Here is a 23,002-nt window from a genome sequence, read left to right as displayed (position 1 = left end):
ATCTCTTAAAAACAGAAGTAGAAGCAAACAACTATAGGGGAAAATGAGGGATACATACTTTAAGAATTTTTAAAAATTTACATGGAAAAACACCAGGATTCTATAGAAAATAAAACAGTATTAAATAACATTATTTATAAAATAGATACTAGCAAATTACCTTACGTAAAGATTCAAGTCAGTAACTTAAAGGATCTTACATAAAAGTACTTTCCGTTGGTTGGAGGAGAGATTTTTACTATACACTGTTTTTCAATTTTTTTAGACAAATTACATTTAAAAGTTTAAATTTGCTTATCTACATTCTTAATGTGAATTGCCACCTTACTATAGGAAGGCTATTTTTGTTCCTGCAGTCTACAAAAAGAACAAAAATATTAAAAACGTACAACTCTTCTCACAGAACTAAGTTGGTTTTATACAAAGACATCTGGCACAAAATACAATGATATTTCAATATAGAATTACAGCAGGGGATGAGGGTGGAGAAGGAAGAGATTACCAGTTCTAAGAGGGGAGACAACAGAAGTATTTTTTTAATGTCTTATTTTAAGAGTAAAACACCTGCTTTTTTTTGAGATGGAGTTTTAGGCGGGAGTGCAGTGGAACGATCTCGGCTCACTGCAATCTCTGCCTCCAGGATTCAAGTGATTCTCCTGCCTCAGCCTCTTGAGTAGCTGGGATTACAGGCACACGTCACCACGCCAAGCTAATTTTTGTATTTTTAGTAGAGAGGGGGTTTCACCACATTGGCCAGGCTGGTTTCAAACTCCTGACCTCAGCCTCAGCCTCCCAAAGTGCTAGGATTACAGGCATGAGCCACCATGCCCAGCCAACACTGAACATTTTGTTCAGAACTAGTTAAGAAAACAGAAATATACATTGGGGGTTTATGGATTACTTATTTTTGGGGTGCAATACTGGGAATAGAAGAGAAAGGAGCTTCCTTTCCCTCTCCTTTCATTCATTCATTCATTTTGAGAAGAAGTCCTGCTCTGTTGCCCAGGATGGAGTGCAGTGGCGAAAACTCAGCTCACTGCAACCTCCACCTCCTGGGTTCAAGCAATTCTCCTGCCTCAGCCTCCCAAGTAGCTGAGATTACAGGCACGCACCACCACACACAGTTAATTTTTATACTTTTTTAGTAGAGACAGGGTTTTGCCATTTTGGCTAGGCTGGTCTCCAACTCCTGACCTCAGGTGATCCACCTGCCTCAGCCTCCCAAAGTGCTGGGATTACAGGCATGAGCCACCGCACCTGGCCAAGAAAGGAGCTTTAGATAAATAAAATGATTAAACATTTGTAGCATGTAGAATGAAACTATTCCCTTAGTAATACTCAAATTATCCAGATTTCCAAGATGTTGGTAGCACCCCGAGAGCTTCAAAAGGGAAATTAAAAGAAAAACGACGTTACCCTTCCTGAAACACAGATTCACTGTTTGCCATATTCTTTTCTCTAGTAAAAGATGAATAGTTTCCCCTGGAAAAACTAAAAACAATCTGAGGTATATTTCAGAGAAAACAAAATTGCTTGATAAAAATGCCATGTTAACAACTGAGGAAATTGTTTTACATATATTAATTTTAACACAGGAATAATATGTCAAACCAGGATTTCTCAACCTCAGCACTATCGACATTTTAAGCTGTATAGTTTTTGGTGTGGGAGGCTGTCCTGTATATTGTAGAATGTTTAGTGGCAGCCCTGGCCTCTACCCAAGAGGCCAGTAGGACCTACCTCCTCATTCAAGCTAATGCACTAAATTTTTCCCTTCATTGACAAATCCCATTAATGCGTGTATTTATCCCATTAGTTACTCTCTTGTGTTCCAGGTACTTTGTTAGGCACCAGAGAAAATATGATAAAGCAAAACAGCTATTTTCCTCACTCTCATGGTGCTTACAGCCATGGTGGGAAAAATCCATAGGAAAAGACTCACATACACAAATGCAGGCAGAATAAAAAAACTCACACAAACAAACGTTGCAGATGTTGTTAAGTTACATAAAGGAGATATGCATGGCTGTGCATGGTGGCTCGTGCCTGTAATCTTAGCACTTGGGGAGGCCAAGGCAGGTGGATCACTTGAGGCCAGGAGCTCAAGACCAGCCTGGCCAACATGGCGAAACCCTGTCTCTACTAAAAATACAAAAATTAGCCAGGCATGGTGGTCCATGCCTATGATCTCAGCTACTTGGGAGACTGAGGTGGGAGGATCACTTGGGCCCAGGAGGCAGAGGGTACAGTGAACTGAGATTGCACCACTGCAATCTCAGCCTAGGAGACAGAGAGAGACGTCTCCTGTTCTCCTGGAGAACAACAAGTCATGATGTCAGACAAGAACTTGGATTTTGGAGACACGGGTTTGAATTTCAGTCATTCATTCTTTTATTCAGTAAATATTTAGCAAGTACTGACATGTCCCAGATGTTGTTTTACTCACTGGTTATACAATGGGAGGGAGACAGAGAAAGAGAGAGAGAGAGAGAGAGAGAGAGAGAGAGAGAGAGACGCTATTCTAAAAGCTTGAAGTCTAGGCTGTGCAGAGTGGCTCATGCCTATAATCGCAGCACTCTGGGAGGCTGAGGCGGGTGGATCATGAGGTCAGGAGATTGAGATCATCCCGGCTAACACAGTGAAACTCCCTCTCTACAAAAATACAAAAAATTAGCTGAGCATGGTGGCAGGCGCCTATAGTCCCAGCTACTTTGGAGGCTGAGGCAGGAGAATGGCGTGAACCCAGGAAGCGGAGCTTGCAGTGAGCCAAGATCACACCACCGCACTCCAGGCTGGGCGACAGAGCCAGACTCCATCTCAAAAAAAAAAAAAAAATGCGTAAAGTCTAGATAGACTTTAACCCAGGAATAATCCAAGGAAATGAACAATTACGAATGTGACAAGGGCTGTGAAGGGAAAGTTCACAGCCTTATCGAAGTGTACAGTAGTTGGGGAGGTTGGCCAAGGCAAGATGTTTAGGAAAGGCTTTCCTGGGGAAATTTCTCTTTGGGTTGAATCACAGTTAAGTAGGCAAAGGGGAAGACAGAGGGAAGGGAAGTATGGCAGGCAGGAAGAATAGGCACTTAATAGCTTTGGGATATTGGGCAGGTCGCTTGATCTTTCTGAGCTTCAGTTTTCTCATCTGGGAAATGAGTTAATAATAGTCGTTTAGAAAGTGTGATGAGACCAGCCAGGTGTGATGGCTCAGGCCTGTAATCCCAGCACTTTGGGAGGCCGAGGCAGGTAGATCATGAAGTCAGGAGATTGAGACCATCCTCGCCAACATGGTGAAACTCTGTCTCTACTAAAAATACAAAAATTACCCAGGCATGGTGGCGTGTGGGAGGCAGAGGTTGCAGTGAGCCAAGATGGCACCACTGCACTCCAGCCTGGGTGACAGAGCGAGACTCCACCTCAGAAAAAAAAAAAAAGGAAGAAACTGTGATGAGATCAAAACAGTTAATGCATGAGTGTTCTGAACCTCGTTTCTCCCTCTGCTGTATCTATGCAGTTTCTTGACCTGGGCTGTGCTCCAAAGAGGATTCTAGCTTGGCTTTTGTGATAGAGGATGGATACATTATTAGACCTGAAAAGCCAGAGCAGGGAGGAATGGTCCCAAAAGGAAGAAACTGTGCTTGTCTTCACAATAAAGAGCAGAGAAGTGGGAGAGGTATTGAAAGCTGTGGGTGGAGTTTTGCAGGTAAGATTGTGTGAAAGAGGTGAGGGAACTACAATCTAGGGGAATGTGGATAGGAGAGTAAAAGGGAATTCTAGAGAACAATCCCTACTGACTTCACACAACTTAAGAAATGCAAGTAAAGGGCCGGGCGCGGTGGCCCACACCTGTAATCCCAGTACTTTGGGAGGCAGAGGCAGGTGGATCACTTGAAGTCAGGAGTTCAAGAAGAGCCTGGCCAACATGGTGAAACCGCATCTGGGTTAGCCAGGCATGGTGGCATGTGTCTGTAATCCCAGCTACAGAAAGATAGAGAGGTGGCTGAGGCAGGAGAATTACTCAAACCCAGGAGTTGGAGGTTGCAGTGAGCCGAGATCACACCACTGCACTCCAGTCTGCTGGACAACAGAACAAGACTCAGGGGGTGGGGTGGGGGAAGGAAAGAAGGAAGGAAGGAAGGAAGAAAGGAAGGAAGGAAAATAGAAATAGAAATGCAAGTAAAGAATTTCAGTTTGAAAATTGCCTTTTGTCTACTGAACATGAGACTGCTTGGAAACTGGGCAACGTGGATTTTTATAAGTTGTACAAAGCACTTAGCAATTTTCAAACCTCTCCATCCTGCAGAGCCAGCTCAATCACTTCTCCAGAAAGACTTACTGAGTCCTCTGCACTGAACAGGTGTCCTGTGCTCCAGGAGAGCCCTGGGCTGGCTCCTAGTGTAGCCATTATGACCCTGGAATGCACCATCTTTCACATCACTGCCTGGCCTTCTAGAATCTCAGCTTCTTAAATCAAGAAATTGTGTCTTGTTCATGTCTGAATTCCCCAAGTGAACACAGTGAGTGGGTGCTTGACAAATCTTTGTTGGTAATGAGCAAAAAAGGGGATTCTGTGCCCAATACCATGAAATCAATGCACAGAAGATTCAATCAATCAAGAAAGGTGCACAGACGCTGGCCACACACACTGACATTTGTTTTCAGATGTTCCAGTCCCCCTGACTTCCACCAACCCATTCATTCATTCCACAAGCATTTTTGCTGGGGTGGAAGCAGGGCCATACAGGGTGTGTAAGTAACAGATAGGGTGGGTTTGTATAATGAGTATAAAAAACTTCTAGCAGAAGATGACAAAGTATATCAAGAAAGGGCTCTCTTCGAAATCACACCACTGCACTCCAGCCTGGGTAACAGAGGGAGATTCCATCTAAAAAAAAAAAAAAAAAAAAAAAAAAAAAAAACAGGGATGGGGGCAAGGGAGCTCTTTTTTTCCAGTTAGCACAAGATTGCCATTTCAGCTAGGGATTCTGCTGCAACTATCTCCCAGACCCTATTCTAGGGCCCGGGGATAGAAACAGAATCAAAAACATATTCCTTGTCTTTTTTGGGCTTATATTATTGAGGAGAGAGAAATAAACAATTTCAAAATAAACAATGTCATACAGTGCTAAGTGCTATAAATAAAATCAAACAGAATAACGAAAGAGAAAGTAGCTAGACTGGAGGGAAAAGCTGCTTCAGAATGAGTTGTCAAGGAAGCCTCTTTGCAATCAGAAAGGTGAGAAGGATTTAGTCAGGCAAATATCAGGAGTAAATTATTCTTGGAGGAAAGTAAGCCCATGCAAAGGCCCTGGGGCAGAGTGGGCTTATTTGATAAAGAGGTAAAAGGGTCAGGATATCTGTAGCAATAGTGGCCAAGGGAGGGAGAGGTATGAGACAGAGGAGGTGAGCCCTGTTGCCATGGTGAGGGCATGAGGATTTATTCTAAGTTCCAGATACCTGGAGTTAAAGTCCCCTGAACTGGACAACAACTACAAGCCTTCATATCTCAATGCTACCATCTTTAAGCCCCTGTTATAAGAGCTCAGAGGCTTCAGAGATGACAGGAAACACCAGAACGCTATGGTGGAGCATATCTAGGTGCCTTCTCCCAACTCAGATCCTTTGACTATAGAAAGACACAGATTTCAAGGCTGAGATCCACAAAACTCTAGCAAATACTGCACAGACACTGACCAATGACAGCAGGTGCTGCCTGTCACCCTGGAGCACCAGGCAGGGTTCCAAAGCACCCTTGCTGTGCCAGCCTCTGATTGCTGGTTATAGGGAGGTCTGGGGTAGTCCCAAAAGCTGGGATGTCTAAGGCAGCTGGGGTCAGTCAGGAGGCTCAGGGCAGTGGCAGGAAAATATTTTCCTCCCTGGTAGAGCCACAGCGGGGTATCCAGGCTGAATATTATTGGCGAGAAGGACCATGGCACCGCACCAAGACCTGCAGGACAAACTTTGTTGGAGCTGAATCCAGAAAAACAATCTTCTTCTAAACCACTCTCCTGCCCCTCATTTAATTATTGTGCTTTTGGGTGCACTTGGACTACTCTGAAACATTCAGAACTCTGTCAAAAAAAAAAAAAAGACCTCTCTCCTCAGCACCTCTCCCACTTGGGCATCAGTCTTGGCTTCCTCTCTACTTGCTTTCACTTGCTCCTTGTGGCAGAGATTGCCCTCAGCAGATCCCTTCCCTTAGGTTCCTTGCTGTCAAGTGGAGGCTAGGGAGCGAGATTATGGCCAATAGAATGTGGGCGGAACCACAGATCTGAGCCTGAGGAACATCCCACAGGACCCTGAGCTCTTCCTCCAGCTGCTGCAGTGGCCTTGGAAGCCATGTCTGTTCTAGAAGTGTAGCTACAGATGGAGAAGGCCCATGTGCTAGCTAGTCTCCAAAGATGGCGTATCAGGCCATTCTTGCGTTGCTATAAAGAAATATCTGAGATAAGTTAATTTATAAAGAAAAGAGTTTGTATTGGCTCATTGTTCTGCGGGCTTCACAAGAAGCATGGTGCTGGCATCTGCTTGGCTTCTAAGGAGGCCTAGGAAGTTTACAATCATGAGCAGGCACATCATGTGGCCAAAGCAGGAACAAGGAAGAGAGAGTCGGTGGGTGTGGGGAGGGACATGCCACACACTTTTAAATAACCAGATCTCACAAGAACTCACTATCTCAAAGACAGCAGCAAGCCATGAGGGATCTACCCCCATGGTCAAAACAACTCCCACCATGCCCCAACTCCAGCACTGGAGACTGCAATTTAACTTGAAATCTGGGTGGAGATAAATATCCAAATTATATCAGAGGGCCTTCCCTCGAACCAAACCTCCTGGTTTCCAGGTCCCCTTTCTTGCTGCTTCTGGGCTGGCCTCCTGGGAAGCCAAGACTGCAGTGGCTCTGATGCTGCATGGGGGCTGAGGCTCAGCCATGAGGAGGCTCGCAGCTGCCACTTTGGTCTTTTGGAAACTTTGCTCATGAGAGTCTCCCCGTTGGGCCGCAGCCACCATGCTGAGAAATGAGGGTCATGTGGAGAGGCCACATGGAGGTTTTCTGGTCTAGAGCACAACTGAGCTCCCAGAAAGCAGCCAGCATCAATGGCTGGGCATGTAAGCCAGCTGGCATGGACATTCCAGACCAGTCTGTCCTTTTGTCACCTTAGCTACAGGGAAGGCCCATGACCCCAGAAGTGCCCATCATTATGCTGAATTCCCGAGCCTCAGTGGTCCACTGAGGTGTGGAAGCATGTCTCACAAGGGTCAGATGGAGTTCTGGCCTGGATTGATGTGTAGAAGCTGGAGAGAGAAGCTGGGTTTCTTTCAGCTGGGGTGGCTCTGCTGGGATGTGGTGGGCCTTTTGGGTTTCCAGGTGGTCATTTTCCTTATTTGCAGTAGAAGGAACGAGACCCATATAGAGAATAGAGCAAATTAAAAGGAGAGAAAGAGAAAAAAGTAAGGAGAGAGGGAGAAAGAGAAAAAGAAGGAAAAGAAGAACGGAGGGAAGGAGGAGAGGAAAGAAAAAGAGAAGGAAAATGAGAAGGAGGAGAGGAAGAGGAGAGAGAGAGAGAAAATAACTTACTTGAACCTTCAAATTCAGGCATACCATGGTCTTTGCAGTTATAAAAATCAATAAGTCACCCTTCAGCTGAAACATGTCTAAGTGGAGTTTCAGTTGTTACAACTGACAGAGCCCTGCCTAGCACAAGGAATAAACAATGTTCAGCAGTGGCATGAGAACAAGGGACAGCCTGTTTGGTGGGCAGCATGGCAAATGACTGTCTGGAAAATATGATGCTTGGGCTGGAGGGCAAAGTGGAATTCACCAGCATGCAGGGTGGAAGTACGACCCTAGCAGACGGAACAGCACTGGCAAAGGCTCAGAGGCAAGAAGCTTTACATGTGAAAGGATACATTTTTAGAACACTAAACATTCTCCCTGTTATCCAAAACACTGAGTTTCTCTTCATTTTTTGGCCAGGTGTGGTGGCTCACGCCTTTAATCCCAGCACTTTCAGGGCTGAGGTGGGTAGATCACCTGAGGTCAGGAGCTCAAACCAGCCTGACCAACATGGCAAAACCCCATCTCTACTAAAAATACAAAAATTAGCTGGGTGAGGTGGCAGACACCTGTAATCCCAGCTACTCGGGAGGCTGAGGGAGAAGAATAACTTGAACCAGGAGTCAGAGGTTACAGTGAGCTGAGATCGTGCCACTGCACTCCAGCCTGGGAGATGAGACAGAGCAAGACTATCTAAAAAAAAAAAAAGACTGAGTTTCTCATCATTTTTTGAAATTGAGAGTTTTCTCTGTATCGATAAGACCTTATAATGCAAAATATAATATAATATGCAGCTAGGTCTCCACAGCCTTCAGTCTTTCCCAGGGAGGGTTCCATGAGCTGCTTGTCTGGTGGGGATGGTGGTTTTGAGCAAGTAGTTGGTGTCCTGTCTTACCCAGGCTCTTTCCCACAAAGAGTTGGGAAGAATTAAAAACTACTGGAAACCAAGATCTCTCCCTGATGTTGACTTTCAGAGCTCAGCCTCATCAGCACAGGCTCTAATCAGCTAAGCAGCTGCCTCGTTTCATCCAGCCAGAGCCCTGATCTCAGGGGTTGATAGTGAGGAAATGATCCTTTCACATGCCTGGCTCCTGCAAAATTGTGCTAAGAGGATTTTCCTCAAACAGTTTAGCACAGAGCGAGGTTTCCTGATCCAGTTAGCAAATATTCTTCTGTTTGAACTCACTGACCCTCCTTTTTCTGAAGATGTATTTTAAATTGGATTTGCTTCACTGACACAAATGGAAAACTTGATAAGAAAATCGGTGGGATTTTGCTGCACCCACTGCTGATATCAAGACTGAACTCTGTATTATAGCAAGAAAAGCTCTGTTCTGTGGCTACAGGATACATGCTGAGCTCCCAGCCACCAGCCCTGCCAATGTGCTCAGCTTGGCACAGGGCAGGGAGCAGGGTACAGGGGAGGGGATGGGGAGGGGCAGGTGGAAAGGCTCAGGTGATGAGCCAGCCACATCACCTCAAGCACAGGACCCCTGATGGTGGCCCTAGATCCTCCTCTTGAAATCCAAAGCTCAGTCCCTCTCCCCAGTTCAGGAGCAAGGAGGTTTCTGGCAGGTTAAAATGGCTAACTCAAGAGCTTGCCACCTTTGAAAGGCAGCACTGTGTAGACAGAGGCAGAAGGATGGGCTTACGAGACAGTCCTGGCTTCAAATCCTTCTCTGACTTACCAGCTCTGGAACCTTAAGCAAGTGACGTAACCTCTCTAAGCCTCAGTTGCCTCATCTTTAAAATGGCATCCCTAATCCTTACTATGAAGAGATATCATGGGTAAATGAGATGCTGTACTTACGAAAGGGCAAGTCCCTGTATTGGTCAAGTGTTTTTACAGCATTGCTGCATAACACACAGCCCCAGGGGCTCAGCAGCTCAAAACAAGTGTTTATTTCTTGCTAATAATTTGCAGTGAGCTGGGAAGCCTTGCCTCGGACTGGGGGCCAGGCTCTGTTTGCTTCTGTGTGTCTCATTCACAGGCCAGTGGTTCCCCGGAGCTTGCTCTTCTCATTGTGCAGGGGTAGGGTCAGTGCTGCCACCCAACACCACATTCAGTTAGAGCCTCCAGTCAGACCAGGCATGCACTAACTCTGCTCATGCATCTCTAGCCAAAGCTGGTCATGTGCACAGCAAGAAATCTGCTCTGTCCTGTCCACAGGGAAGTCGCAGGAATGTGGAAAGGCCAGGAAGGATTGTGAGCCAATAATACATCTTGACAATCCACAATAGATGGAAGCTATTATTGATTCATTATCTCAAAATGGCTCCACCAGCCAACCCCTTCTATCCATCCCCAGTGCTACCTCCTAATTGAGGTCCTCGACGCTTTTTGCTTGCATGGCTGCCAGAGCCTTTGGGCAGGTCTCTGTGTTGATGTGTTCACCCCCACTCCTATCTCCTCCATCCAACGCTCTACCACCAAGGCAATCCTCCTAAAACACAACCACAGTGTTCTTCACACTCCCTATGATTCCCTGCCACCCACATTATTAATCATTAATCCAATTAATAAAAATTAATGTACTAATCCCCAGCTCCTCAGTGTGGCCCTTCACAATCTGCTTGTCCAGCCTCGTCTCTTGCCTCCCCAGCTTTCCCCAGCAGACCCCTCTCCCACCCATTCCAATGCCATCCTCTTCTCCCAGCCTAGTTCTTTCAGGCCCTGTGCGTTTGCACTTGCCCCTGTCTGAAATGTCCTTCCCACTTCTTCTTGAAGGGGGTGAGTGCCAACTCACCTTTCCAACCCCACACCAATGCACACCAGGATCTCCCCAAGACTCCAGGGTAGTAGTCACCATCTGTATTTCTGCAGCACACTGCACCTGCCTCTAGCACAGCTCGACAGCCCACTGAAGTGAATGATCTGTTCGATCGGTGCCGACTTGCCTTTCTTTCCCAGCTGCAAACCACCCAAGGTGAAGTCATCTTAGCCTCTTGGAGTCAGCCTGACTGGGGTGAACCCATTGATATGTATTGCATAAATGAACATATCATGACAGTAGTGATGAGGGATCTCCAGCTATCCGTGTACTCTCTATGCTTCCCAGACTCTTTGGCAGTTGCACTGGGTACTGGCTGAGTTCTGGAAAACAGGAATGTGAGCAGAGTGCTGCAGATCTCCTTGTCAGGAGCACCTAAGAACTGGCATGACTCTACACCCTCTCTCCTTCTGCAATGACCTCGTGTCAAGATGGCAGACCCGCAGAGATGAATGTGCCTGGATACCTGAGTCACCAGGTGGAGGAAACTCCCATTGACATGCATCACACTCCACATATGAAACCCTTCTTTTTCTGCACTGTCACTGGGGTTAGGGATTATTACTCACTGCAACTTAGCCTAGCATTAAGTTGCTTGACTAATACAAGTTTCAATAAATGTCGCTTCATTTCCCATGGCTTCTGACTGAATGCTGTGCAATATCCACAAACCATCCAGATTGTGGTTTATAAATACCACCCTTCACTAAAAGGACTCAGAGCTCCTTGTAGAAATGGCTGATGCTAAGGCTGGGGTAGGGAAGTACAAGGTGAGCCCAGAGTGCTGTGTGGTGCCAGAAAGCAAGGAAGCATTTAAAAAATGACAGGGACATGTCAAAGGACACATCAATCAACTTCAAGGGGCTTCCACTGGCCAAATCTAGGATGATGTGAGCATCCAAATTAATAATGATAATGGTAGATTATAGTCTATTGAATAAAATGGGAACCTATAGCTATAGAAAGAAAGAAAAGGGAAGGAAGAAAAGAAAGAAGAAGAGAGGGAGGGAGGGAGAGAGGGAGGGAGGGACGGAGGGAGGGAAGAAGGAAGAAGACTTTCTTACAGTAGAATGCCAATGAATAAATACAGAGGGAATAATAGAAAACTCCATTTGCAAACATGATCATAATAGTTTATTCAAGGAAGAATCATCACTGAGTGAAAATTTAGGAAGGTAAAGTATGTTTTCATTGTCTCATAGCACTTCCACTCATATGGTTTATTAATTGCAAAGAGAAAAAGTGGTAACTTAACAGTAGAGAAACCCAGCAGGTCCTCCCTTAATGAGCTGAACAAAGTTAACAACACCAGGAATAGGACAAATGGGTGCCAAGTGTTTCTTGATGTGATACACTGAGAACACAGCATTGCTTCTGTAGCATTCCGGTCCCTGGAGGAAACATCAGACAAACACAGATGGAGGGACCTTCAAGGACTGACCTGAACTGTTCTTCGGCGTCAACCCCATGATAGACAAAAAGAGGCAGAGGAACTGTTCCAGATTAAGGGAGACTAAAAAGGTATGACAGCTGGATCAGGGGAAACGTGCCTTAAAGGGCATTATTGGGACTGTTGGCGAAATTTTAAGTGAACTGTATATTAGACAATTATCAAGGACTACACGATTGTATGGCATCAACCTCAAATTCCCCGAACTTGAGCACTAGAGTCTTCTTGTTCTGATGGAATATGTTCTGGAATGTTTAAGGGAGAGGAGAAGGATGCCTGCAACTGAATTTCAAATGGTTCAGGGAAAGATAATAGAGTAGAATAGACTATATAGATGGAGAAAGTAAATGTGGCAAATAACAATTGGTGAAGGTGGGTGAAGGTCATGAAAGTTCTTTGCCTTACAATTAATTCTTCTATAAGTCTGAAATTATTTGAAAATAAGAGAAATGCTTTCAGCTGTGAATAACAGAAAGCCTGACTACTTGTGGCTTTTGCAATAAAGACATTTAGTTATGTAACATAACAGGATTTAAGAGGAAGAAGGCAAGGACTTGAAAAGGCTCAGTGATGTAGCTGAGGCCCCAGATTCCTTTTATCATTTTGTCCAAAGGCTCCACCTTCCTGAATATTACTGCTTTATACCCTTGGAGCTTCATGATCACAGGATGGCTGTTATAGCTCCAGCCATCATGACCAAGTTCAGACTCCAGGAACAAGATGGAGGAAGCTATGTCAAGGGGGGCTTTTCTTGATGTGTCTCTCGCCTTTAACCAGTGAAGAAAATCTTCTTAGAAGGACACAGCAGACTTCTCCTTATGTCTCATTATGCAGAAGTGGACCACAGGACAGTCCCTACTGTAAACTCTTTCAAGTATCAGGCAAAAAGGAACAAAAGGCCCCAGCCTGGCTTAAACCAACCTTGAGTCATCACCTGACACTGGACACTTTGTTTATCCAAGCAAAATCAGGATTTTCTGTTAGCAAGCAAAGGAACTGCTCATGGGTAAGAAATTAACAGTGTGTGCCATAATTCATATTTGTCGCCAAGCATCTTCTCAGGCTGACACTGTGCCAAACAAGGGATTATAGAGATGAAGATGCAGCTTCCATCCCTGAAAGCTCACAGTCCATTCTCTCAGGGCAATCCCGGTAACCTCCTCATCACAATCATCCATCCAGATCATGGAAGTCCCTTTACTCCCCAAATAAGAAGGAGTAGCAGGAAAAAGTGACCTCATCAAGCTGACTCGAGTTTTTCCAAAAGCAAATAAATAAATAAATAACTTTTTAACCTGCACAGCCAAATATCAAATAAATACATGTGTGTTTTTTGGGGGGGTTGGGGGGTGTTTTTTTTTCTGAGCTTCCTGTGGTATTGAAACTATCTCCCACTTCCTCCTTTTTGTCTCAAAAGATCTTAAGCATTGGGCCAGACACAGTGGCTCCTGCCTGTAATCCCAGTACTTTGGGAGGCTGAGGTGGGCAGATTGCTTTAGCCCAGGTGTTCGAGACGAGTCTGGGCAACGTAAAAATAGCCCATCTCTAAAAAAATAAAATAAAATAAAATACAAAAATTAGCCAGGCATAGAGGTGGATGCATGTAGTTCCAGCTACCTGGGAGGCTGAGGTGGGAGGATCACTTGAGCCCCAGGGGTTGAGGCTGCAGTGAACCATGATCATCACATCTGGGCAACAGAGCAAGACCCTGTCTCAAAAAAAAAAAAAAAAAAAATCTAAGCATCCATTCATTTTAGTTCATTTGAGGATAATTATTGATCTCCTCTTCTACCACCACTAGGGATACAGAGGAGGAGCAAACAGACATTATTCCTTTCTCTTGAGGCTCACAGTTAATTGGTAAAGAGGGACCACTATTCAGAAAGTCCCACACATCATTGTATGATCAAAAGCTATGACAGATGCAAGGAAGGAAAGCTGGATGGTGTTGTGAGGCTTCATGGCAGGGACACCAGACCTGGTCTAGAGGTGAGGGAAGACTTCCCTGAGGCACTGGCTTGAATGGAGAGCTGAAGGAGGAATAGGAATTCACTAGAAGAAAGAAGAGGAAGCAGCAAGTGCAAGGCCCTCCTGCAGCAGGAGAGAGCATAGCACATTCAAGGAAAAGAAGCCAGCAGTGTGGATTACAGAGGAAGAGTGCAGCACGAGGGCAGTGGCTTGAGATGAGGCCAGAGAGGAGGGCACGCAGGACCAAGGGGACCAAGGCAAGGATTTTGGTGTCCATCAAATTGGAGAGTGCTGAGCAGGGGAGGGGTAACCGTGTAATTGCCTTTCTCAAATGCCCGTTTTACCGTAGCAAGGATAGACTGGTAGAAGCAAGGGATGAACTGGAGAGATGAGTGAGGAAGCTGCTCCAGAAGACCCATCAGGAGATGATGGTGACAGGGAATTGAGTGGTAGGAATGACAATGGGAAGAGATGAGCGGAATCCAGGTATTTGTGGGTAGAAGTGGCAGGTGTGGCTACTTATTGGAGATGGGGCTGTAGAGCTGTGAAGGTGTGAGTCCTTTACTTATCCATCTTAAGGGTCACGGCCAACACTCCTATAACAAAAGACACATTAACAAGAGAAAAACAGAGCAAATTTATTTAATCCAAGTTTTATGTGACATGGGAGGCTTCAGAAATGACAACCCAAAGGCCCAGGGAAAACTGTTAATTTTTATGCTTAGATTAGATGAAGAATGGACAGCCAGATAGAAATGTGATTGGACAAACGGGTATGACCTACTGGGAACAGACTGAAAGGGGACCCAGCAAAACTGTCTGCTCAGATTCTTCTCAGCCTCTCTGTGTAGCCTCCATTCCTCCTGGGTATGGGGCGGGACCCTTTCTGAAATGAGAGTTTTCAAAGGAGAAGGAGAAGATAGAGAGTGACCTTTCTAGGTTTTATGGTTTGCTTTAGCAGGAGGGTTTCTAGGTTCTATGACCCATCTTGAGGAAGATAAATTCTGGTTTCTGTGACTCACTTTGGAGGATGAAGGCAAGCAGAAGAGAGGGTCTGAGGAGGTTGGAAAGACCTTGCTTCTGAGTTCCTTCCAATGTCCTTCAGTTCAAAATACTCAGGCTGAGGCACCACGCTTTGGGGTGTCATGTTCTAAGCCCCGACAGCATAAGGGCAGCGTTGAGACAGCCTTTGCAGCCTGGCCTGCATAATGGACAGACGCTAGTGCAATCCATAGGGTTGGAAATGTGGAGGGATAACTGAATGGCGATGCCGGGAGCCTTGAGTTCAGTGTTGGACACATTGAGTGTAAAGTGCCTTTGAGACACCCAAGTAGGCTGTTGGAAATAACCAGCCTGGAGCTGAGAGGTCAGGTTGAAAAGCAGTGTCTGGACGGCAGGTGGGCCCTTGGCCATGAATTAGACCACCAAGGAGAGCAAAGTGAGAAGTCAAGAGGACCTAGTAGGGCCCCTGAAAACTCCAAATGGCCAAGAAGAGGCAAAGAGCTACAAACAATCCTGAGAGGGGGCCGAGGGCAGAGCCACCTGGAGGGAATGTTCATCAAAGTCACACCCTGCCCCTGCATCCGCCCCTCACTCTGCACATGGGAGCTCAAGAAGCCAAGGGGCTTGCTCTGTACCCGGGTCACCCAGCTTCATCCTGGGCAAAATGAGATCACAGTCCCCGACTCTCATTTGCCCTCTTTTCTGCTTTTGTTTTTTTTTTTTTTTTTCTTTTATGCTCTTTTTCATTTTTTTCTGGGTACACATTAGGTGCATATATATGTGAGGTACATGAGATGTTTTGATACAGACATGCACTGTGAAATAAGCACATCATGGAGAATGAGGTGTCCATCCCTGAAGCATTTATCCTTTCTTTCTTTCTTTTTTTTTTTTTTTGAGATGGAGTCCAGCTCTGTTACCCAGGCTGGAGTGCAATGGCGTGATCTCTGCTCACTGCAAGCTCCGCCCCCCAGGTTCATGCCATTCTCCTGCCTCAGCCTCTTGAGCAGCTGGGACTACAGGTGCCCGCCACCATGCCAGGCTAATTTTTTTTGTATTTTTAGTAGAGATGGGGTTTCACAGTGTTCACGGGGATGCTCTCGATCTCCTGACCTCATGATCCGCCCACTTCGGCCTCCCAAAGTGCTGGGATTACAGGCCTGAGCCACTGCACCCGGCACATTTATCCTTTCTAATACCAACAATCTAATTACAGTCTTTTAGTTATTTGTAAATGTACAATTATTAATGACTACAGTCATCCTGCTGTGTGATCAAACAGTATATCTTATTCATTCTTTCTAACATCATCCCCACCTGCCCTCAGCCCCCCACTCCTCTTCCCAGCCTCTGGTAACCACCTTTCTGCTCTCTAGCTCCATGAGTTGAACTGTTTTGATTTTTAGATCCCACAAATCAGTGAGAACACGCAATGTGTGTCTTTCTGTGCCTGGCTTGTTTCACTTAACATAATGACCTCCCATTCCATCCATACCATTTTCTGCTTTTGTACAAGGCATCAAGGCATAAAAAGCAGGGCAATGGGACTCAATGGATTTTCCACGCTGCTCTAACACACTACTGCAAACCTGGCAGCTTCAAACAACACAGATGTATTCTCTCATAGTTCTGGAGGTCACAAATCCAAAACGAGTCTTCCTGGACTAAAACTGAGGTGTTGCCAGGACCCTTGGTAAAAGCCCTAGAGGAGAATCCATTCCTTGCCTCTTTGGTGGCTGCTGGCATTGTGAATTGTGGGCACATCACTCCAATCTCTGCCTCCACGGTAGCATCACCTTCTCTTCTGTAGTCGAATCTCCTCTGCCTCCCTCTTCATCTATAAGGACACTTTGTGATTACATTGCGTATCCACACAGATAACCCACGATAGTCTCCCCGTCGCAAATCTTTGAAGTAATCTCATCCACAGAGTCTCTTCTGCCAACATCCCATTCACTAGTTCTGGAGGTTAGGACGTGGACATCTTTGGGGGTTATCATTCCCCCTTTCACAGGCTATCTGGGCTGTATACAGAACCAGAGATCTGAGAATCATCTTGGCGGCCTCACTCTGTGAGCAGAGAAACGTGTCTGTGCTCAGCAGCAATCCCTGGAGGCAGAGACTGGAAATTACACCTGCAACCGTAGTAAGAGCTTGCCAGGGGCCGGAATGGGTGCCATAACTAGAGCTGTACAGGCATCCACCTCAATTCTCTCAGCGGCCCTTTGAGGTCGCTCTCTTACTGCCACCAAGGTGCAGGGTGGTGAAGTTAACTCAGAGCAGAGACCTGGCCTCGAAGCCTCGTCTCCCTGGGGAACAACCAATCAGCAGGAATCTGAACACAAGCACGAGAGGCAATCCGAGCCCTTCCCCAAAGCCTCACTCTTCATTCACTCTGGCTGGAATCCTGCCCTCCCTTCAGGGCCAAGCTTAGGGAACAAGGAGCAACCAGATCCTACCTCCAAGGACAGAGCCCTTACATATTTCTGCAATCTGTCTGCAGCTGATGGTCTGAATGAGCATCGTGTCATCACAGCACTTGTAAATTTTGGAGGGGCTCCTCCACACTGAGGGAATATGCTTGTTCAGGGAAGGGCACACTCCCCCATTTCTCCCGGAACCACACTTCTGCCGTGGGACCCTGAGAACACAAGGGCCCTCCCCTTGCCCTGTTGCTTCATGTGGCTTAGTCTTGCTTAACAAACATGCTAGGTGTGGAGGCTGAGGCCTACATGTAGTGTTGAGGGCAAGCAGGGACTGCCTGGAAATGCTGAAAGCATTCTCTTAAAGTGAGGCCTTCCCATCATGATTGCTAGGCCCATGATGAGAAGATATTGCAGGAAAGCACGACCTGGACCATAGAAAGGGCAGATCAATGTGTGGGCCTTTATGTGCTTATCCCTCCCACCACCCTGCTGCAGACCCCACCCACACTCAAGCTTAGCCCCTGTGGCTTGGAACCCAAGGACGCTTCTGAGCTGAGGCAGACTTCAGGGAGTACTAGTTAGGATAGGTCAGCTGCAAGTAACAAACAAACAAACAAAATACGCAGCAAACTCTGGCCCTCAGGGCCAAATTCAGCCCACCATCTATTTTTATAAATAAAGTTTTATTGGAACATAGGTGTACCCATTCATTTACACATTGTCTATGGTTGTTTTTAGGGTTGTAGTGCCAACAGAGATCTCATGGCCCACACAGAGCCTAAAATGTTTTCCATGTGGCCCTTTATGGAAAAAGTTTGCCCACCCCTGGCTTGAACAATGACAACATTGAATTATCTGCCATCACAAGAACTCCAGAGGAAGGTGGCTCCAGGGTCACACGAAGGCTCAGCAAAGTCCTCGAGGCCCCAGGCTCCTGTTCCCTCCTTGGCAGGTTGGCCTTTCTTCTTGGGCTGGTTTCTTCATGGTCACAAGCCGGCTGCCACAGTTCCAGGCTTGACTGCCTCTCAGAAGCACATTCAGGCCAGGAGGAAGGGCAGGCTTCCTCCTCACCTCTTCTTATTTAGGGATCAAAAATCCCTCCAGGGCGGTGCAGCAGAGGTCCCTTACCTCTCAGTGTTTAGACCAGAGGTCAGTAAGCATTTCCTATAAAGGACCAGATAGTGAGTATTTTAGGCTTGTCAGGTCACATATGATCTCTGCAGCATATTCTGTGTGTGTGTGTGTGTGTGTGTGTGTGTGTGTGTGTGTGTGTGTGTGTGAGAGAGAGAGAGAGATGACCCTTTAAAAATGTACACTCCATTCTTCTCATGAGCCATAGTTTGTCAACGCCTGGTCTGGCACTCTTCACATGCCCTCTCCGTGCCCATCTCCAGCAAAGGATAGCGAGCTTACCCTTGCTATCAAAGGTGCTTGGCTTAGACCAATCACCCAAAACTGATGTTTCAGAGATGCCTGCTGGAGGAGTGTAGGCAGATATTACTGATGTCAGAAAAACAGTTTGAGCGCCACTTCCTTCTCTGGCAGGAAGGAGTGATTGGCTGCTGGTCCTGCCCTGTCCGAGGAGGAGGACGGAACCCACCCACCAAGCTGTGGAGAGGTGGACCCCACAAATCCCCTCGCAAGCCACGTCTGAGAGCGAGCAGAGGGAAGAAACTCAAGCGTTTGTAGTCCTCTTTCTTAACAACCAGGCTTAAAGCGCCATCTTGTGTCTTGAAGGCAGAAGGAGATCAGGATGTGTGTGCTAGAAGCAGGCAGAGGATCTTCACCAATGTCTCAAAAACTAGAGAAGGAAACATGGCGATCCTCAAGGCCCGCGGCGGCCCCAGCCCTTCCCGCACCCTGCGATAGTCTGGTGTTGGGAGGGTGGCCCACGTGTCCAAGCAACCACATCAGGGAGGTTCTGGGAGAGGAGAAGGCAAAGCTCATGCCCTCATGAGGCAGGCAGTCCCATCCAGGACTGGACTGGATGAGCACCAATAAATAAGAAAACACAGCTGGCAGCTGACTGTGAAGGGTCTGGACAGGGTGCCGAAGTGAAGCGTAATGAGCTGGATAGTGAGGACCTCACTACAGAGGGACATCTATCTACACACAGCCTGAAGGGTGAGAAAGATGGATCCTTGCCCTGAGCCAGAAGTGCACACCCCAGAGAGAGCAGCTCCTGCGGAGGTCCTGTGGGGCAGGCATGGTAGGAATATTAAAGAGAAGAAGCCAGGTGTGGCTGCAGCCATGCAGGAGGAAGGGCGATGGGGTTGGGGAGGCAGAGGATGGGACTGGCATGAGAAGATGGAGATGCAGAGCCCAGATCGTGATAGCCCCAATAGTCCACGGGTAGGAGTTTGTATTTTCTACTAAAAGCAATGGGAGGGCGGGGCGCGGTAGCTCAAGCCTATAATTCCAGCACTTTGGGAGGCCGAGGCGGGTGGATCACCTGAGGTCAGGAGTTCGAGAACAGCCTGACCAACATGGTGAAACCCCATCTTTACTAAAAATACAAAAATTAGACAAGTGTTATGGCGCGCGCCTGTAATCCCAGCTACTCAGGAGGCTGAGGCAGGAGAATCGCTTGAACCCAGGAGGCGGAGGTTGCAGTGAGCTGAGATCATGCCATTGCACTCCAGCCTGGGTGACAAGAGCGAAACTCCGCCTCAAAAAAAGGGAGGGGGGGCAATGGGAAACCATTGAATCGTTTTTAGCAGGTGGCCTGATTTGATTTACATTTTTTAGACATGTAGCTTCACTATCATGGTTATGGTGGTCCGTGCATTACTAACATTGCTAAAACCACCATCATGCCAGAATTACCCTCCCATTTGTGGGTTAAAACACTGCACCCATCTGTCCCTCCCCAGAGTCCTCTTAGTGGCTGCTCTTAGGAGGAACTAACATGGACTACATTCCCCCATCACACCCAGCACAAGTGCCCTCCCAGCCTCCCCCACCCAACTCAGTCCCATTCACACGCGGCATGCCAGGGACTCTCCCATCAGGGGAACACCCTGTAACTCCCAAGTTCCTCCAAAGCCTCTTGAGAGGGACCATGGTGCCCTGCAGGGAGTGGGTCCTGGTGGGTCCAGTGGAGGGAACGTCCTTGCTGAAACTGGCTGGGTCTTAGCCGGGAAGTGGTGACAGGTATCTCTCACATACGCTACGGGAACCCAGCGCAGCCAATGGAGTCCAATCAGCACACCTTGCGCCCACCCCTTCGTTTGGTAACTTGAGGCCACTGCCCACCCGCCAGGTACCCTCTCTCAAGCGTGCCCTGAAGTTCAGGGAAAGACGCCAGCACCCCCTGCTGGTTGCGCTCTCCCATAGCAGGGCTCACATTTTGGGAGAAAGAAATCAGCTGTTAGCAGCTTTCGTTCTTCACCATGTTAAGCAAAGCACAACATTTTATAACTGGGTGAAAAGCCAGATATTCTGTCAGCTGATTTGATTGTTCTGTACGCATATCCCTAAGCCATTGTTTGACGGATATTTTTACTGAGTTGACTTTCTTCATAAGATGGTAGGACTAATGAAGAGAAAAGGCAATGGAGTTTTTAAAACCAGCGTGATGAACCAAATGCTGCCACTGACTAGCTATGTACATGTAATCCAAAGGTTCCCTCCGTTGAAACAAAATAACAGTGCTTACCTAACCAGGTCAGCTGTGAGCTGGGACTTCACAGACAGGCATAGAGAGACATGGATGCAGGAAGGGCTTCCTTAGCTGAGAGGGTCGTGAAACTGGAAGGTAGTAGCAAGCATTTTCCAGTTGGATCTTTTGGCCGACATCTGTAGTGGGGAGACAAACATGTCTAATTTTCCCCCCACCCCGGCACATGGGCAGGTAGGAAGATGCTGGTGGGTTTGGTTCGACAGTTTGGAGAATGTCTTGTGGAAGGGGTGCTTTTTTTAATGCACACTCAGGCACCATGGGAGCCTGTTGTCACCCTGGATATCTAGCTCCATGCCCTTGCCCTTTCACTCTGCCTCGACAAGAGTCATGGCACCCAAAATACATGAGTTCAAATCTGAGTTTCACAGGCTCAGGGAGGAACCCAAGCTACCAAATGCACAGGCCCCTCCTGTATACGGTTACAGCAGGTAAGGGAGTAACTTACTCAGTGCAAGCTGCTGTAACAAAATAGCACAAGCTGGGTGGCTAATCAACAACAGGCATTTATTTCTCACAGGTCTGGAGGCTGGAAGCCCAAGATCAGGGTGCCAGTGCTGGCATGGTTGGGTTCTGGTGAGGGCCCTCTTCCAGGTCACAGACAGCTGTCTTCTCATTGCATCCTCACATGACAGAAAAGAAGTGCACAAGCTCTCTGGCCCCCTCTTACAGGCGCTAATCCCATTCACAACGGTCCTACCATCATGACCTCATTACCTCCCAAAGACCCCACCTCCAAATACCACCACATTGGCATTAAGCTTCAACATATGAATTTAAGGGGGAAACAAACATCCAGTCCATTGCAGATTGTTCTGATAATATGTGTGCCCAGGGCATTGCCCCCACAGCAAAGAGCGACATTGGAAGGCAAACCAATGTCAGGTTTCCTAATGTGCACGGAGTCATCCCTGGAAGAGTGAGTCCGGTGATCTTACCAGCTAATTGCATTGAGCTACCCCACCTTGGGGATCTACCTGCCAAGGAGAACAGAACACCACTGGCTTTGACACCCATCTCTCAACAATGATGGAAGAATGCTGGAAATTTACCTGCTCTGGTAGCTCTCTCTAAGTTCATCTTCCTTGTATGGACTTTCTTTTTTTATTGCTCTCAAATACTTGTATTATTAAATATCTCATTTAAAATTTCTTTAAAATACATTAAAAGTACATTTAAAGAGTACATTTTAAGAGTGCAGATGAAAACATAATGAATACATCTTTGCTTAGGAAAAAATATTTCGGACACAGCATGAACTCAGTTGCTGGTTCCAAGCCCCTCCCCTTCTCACTACACTGAACTTGGCATGCATTCTTTCTTCAGGTGTGTTTGTAATCTTACTACATATGGACATATCCCCCAGCAATATCAGGGATTGTTTTGCTTGTTCCTAGACATCATATAAATGGTATCATACCAATTATACCCCTACACTACTTAATGTTTCATTCAACATTGTTTTGGGGGACTATCCATGTTGATACATGAATTCTGTTGTGTTCATTTTTTCCTCTTGTGAAATAGTCCATTATGGAAATTGTCCCTAGTGTGTCTATCTGCACTCCTAATTGACAGGCATTTAGGCTGTTTTCCATTTTCCTAATTACAATTATGCTGAGTGAACATTCCTGAACACAGGTGTGAGGCTGTCTCTGGAGCACATGCCAGGGAACAGAATTCTTAGGTCGTAAGGAATGTGTACCTCCAGCCTTAGTCAATATTGCCAATTGCTGTCCTATCTGATTTTATTCATTTACGCTCCCACTAGCAGTATATATGAGTCTTTCTTTCACTTCTTGCCAACTCTTGCCAATCTAATGAATGGGAAGTGGTAACTCATTATTATTTCAATTTGTATTCCCTGAGACCTTAACACTTGTGTATTGCACATTCTGGTTCCTCTTTGGCAAATTGCCTTGGCATTAAGATAGTAAATTTTCCTTGCCACCTACGCTGGTTGAGTCAGGATGCTTAATTACTTGGAGGTAAAAAGCACCTGGCTGAAATAGCCATCCCTGAGGCTGCCTGTTGAGGATAGGAGATGCTTCATCCATCTTTAGATCCTTTCTTGGAAACGCTGAGCCTGGCCAGCCATGCAGGCTTTTCCAAGCTCTGATGCTGCCCTGTGTCCACAATAGCATCCCCACA

General features: G+C 46.6%; 1 long non-coding RNA gene across 7 annotated transcripts in view; it reads left to right on the top strand.

The window, feature by feature from the left end:
• Nucleotides 1–23,002, top strand: part of LINC02802 (long intergenic non-protein coding RNA 2802) — a 42,825-nt gene that overhangs the window by 12,304 nt on the left and 7,519 nt on the right. For 2 of the 7 annotated variants that reach the window (NR_199620.1, NR_199619.1), the window contains one exon: nt 10,615–13,081. The exons of 4 other annotated variants lie outside the window; for them this stretch is intronic. This is a non-coding gene — a long non-coding RNA (long intergenic non-protein coding RNA 2802). Of the gene's footprint in view, nt 1–10,614; nt 13,082–23,002 lie in introns of those variants that run through there. One more of the 7 variants, NR_199618.1, reaches the window with a different exon arrangement.

The sequence above is a fragment of the Homo sapiens genome, chromosome 1 (genome assembly GCF_000001405.40).
Source record: "Homo sapiens chromosome 1, GRCh38.p14 Primary Assembly".
Classification (NCBI taxonomy): Eukaryota; Metazoa; Chordata; class Mammalia; order Primates; family Hominidae; genus Homo; species Homo sapiens.
The sequence above is the reverse complement of the archived record's forward strand: the minus strand, read 5'-3'. Positions and strand labels throughout refer to the sequence as shown.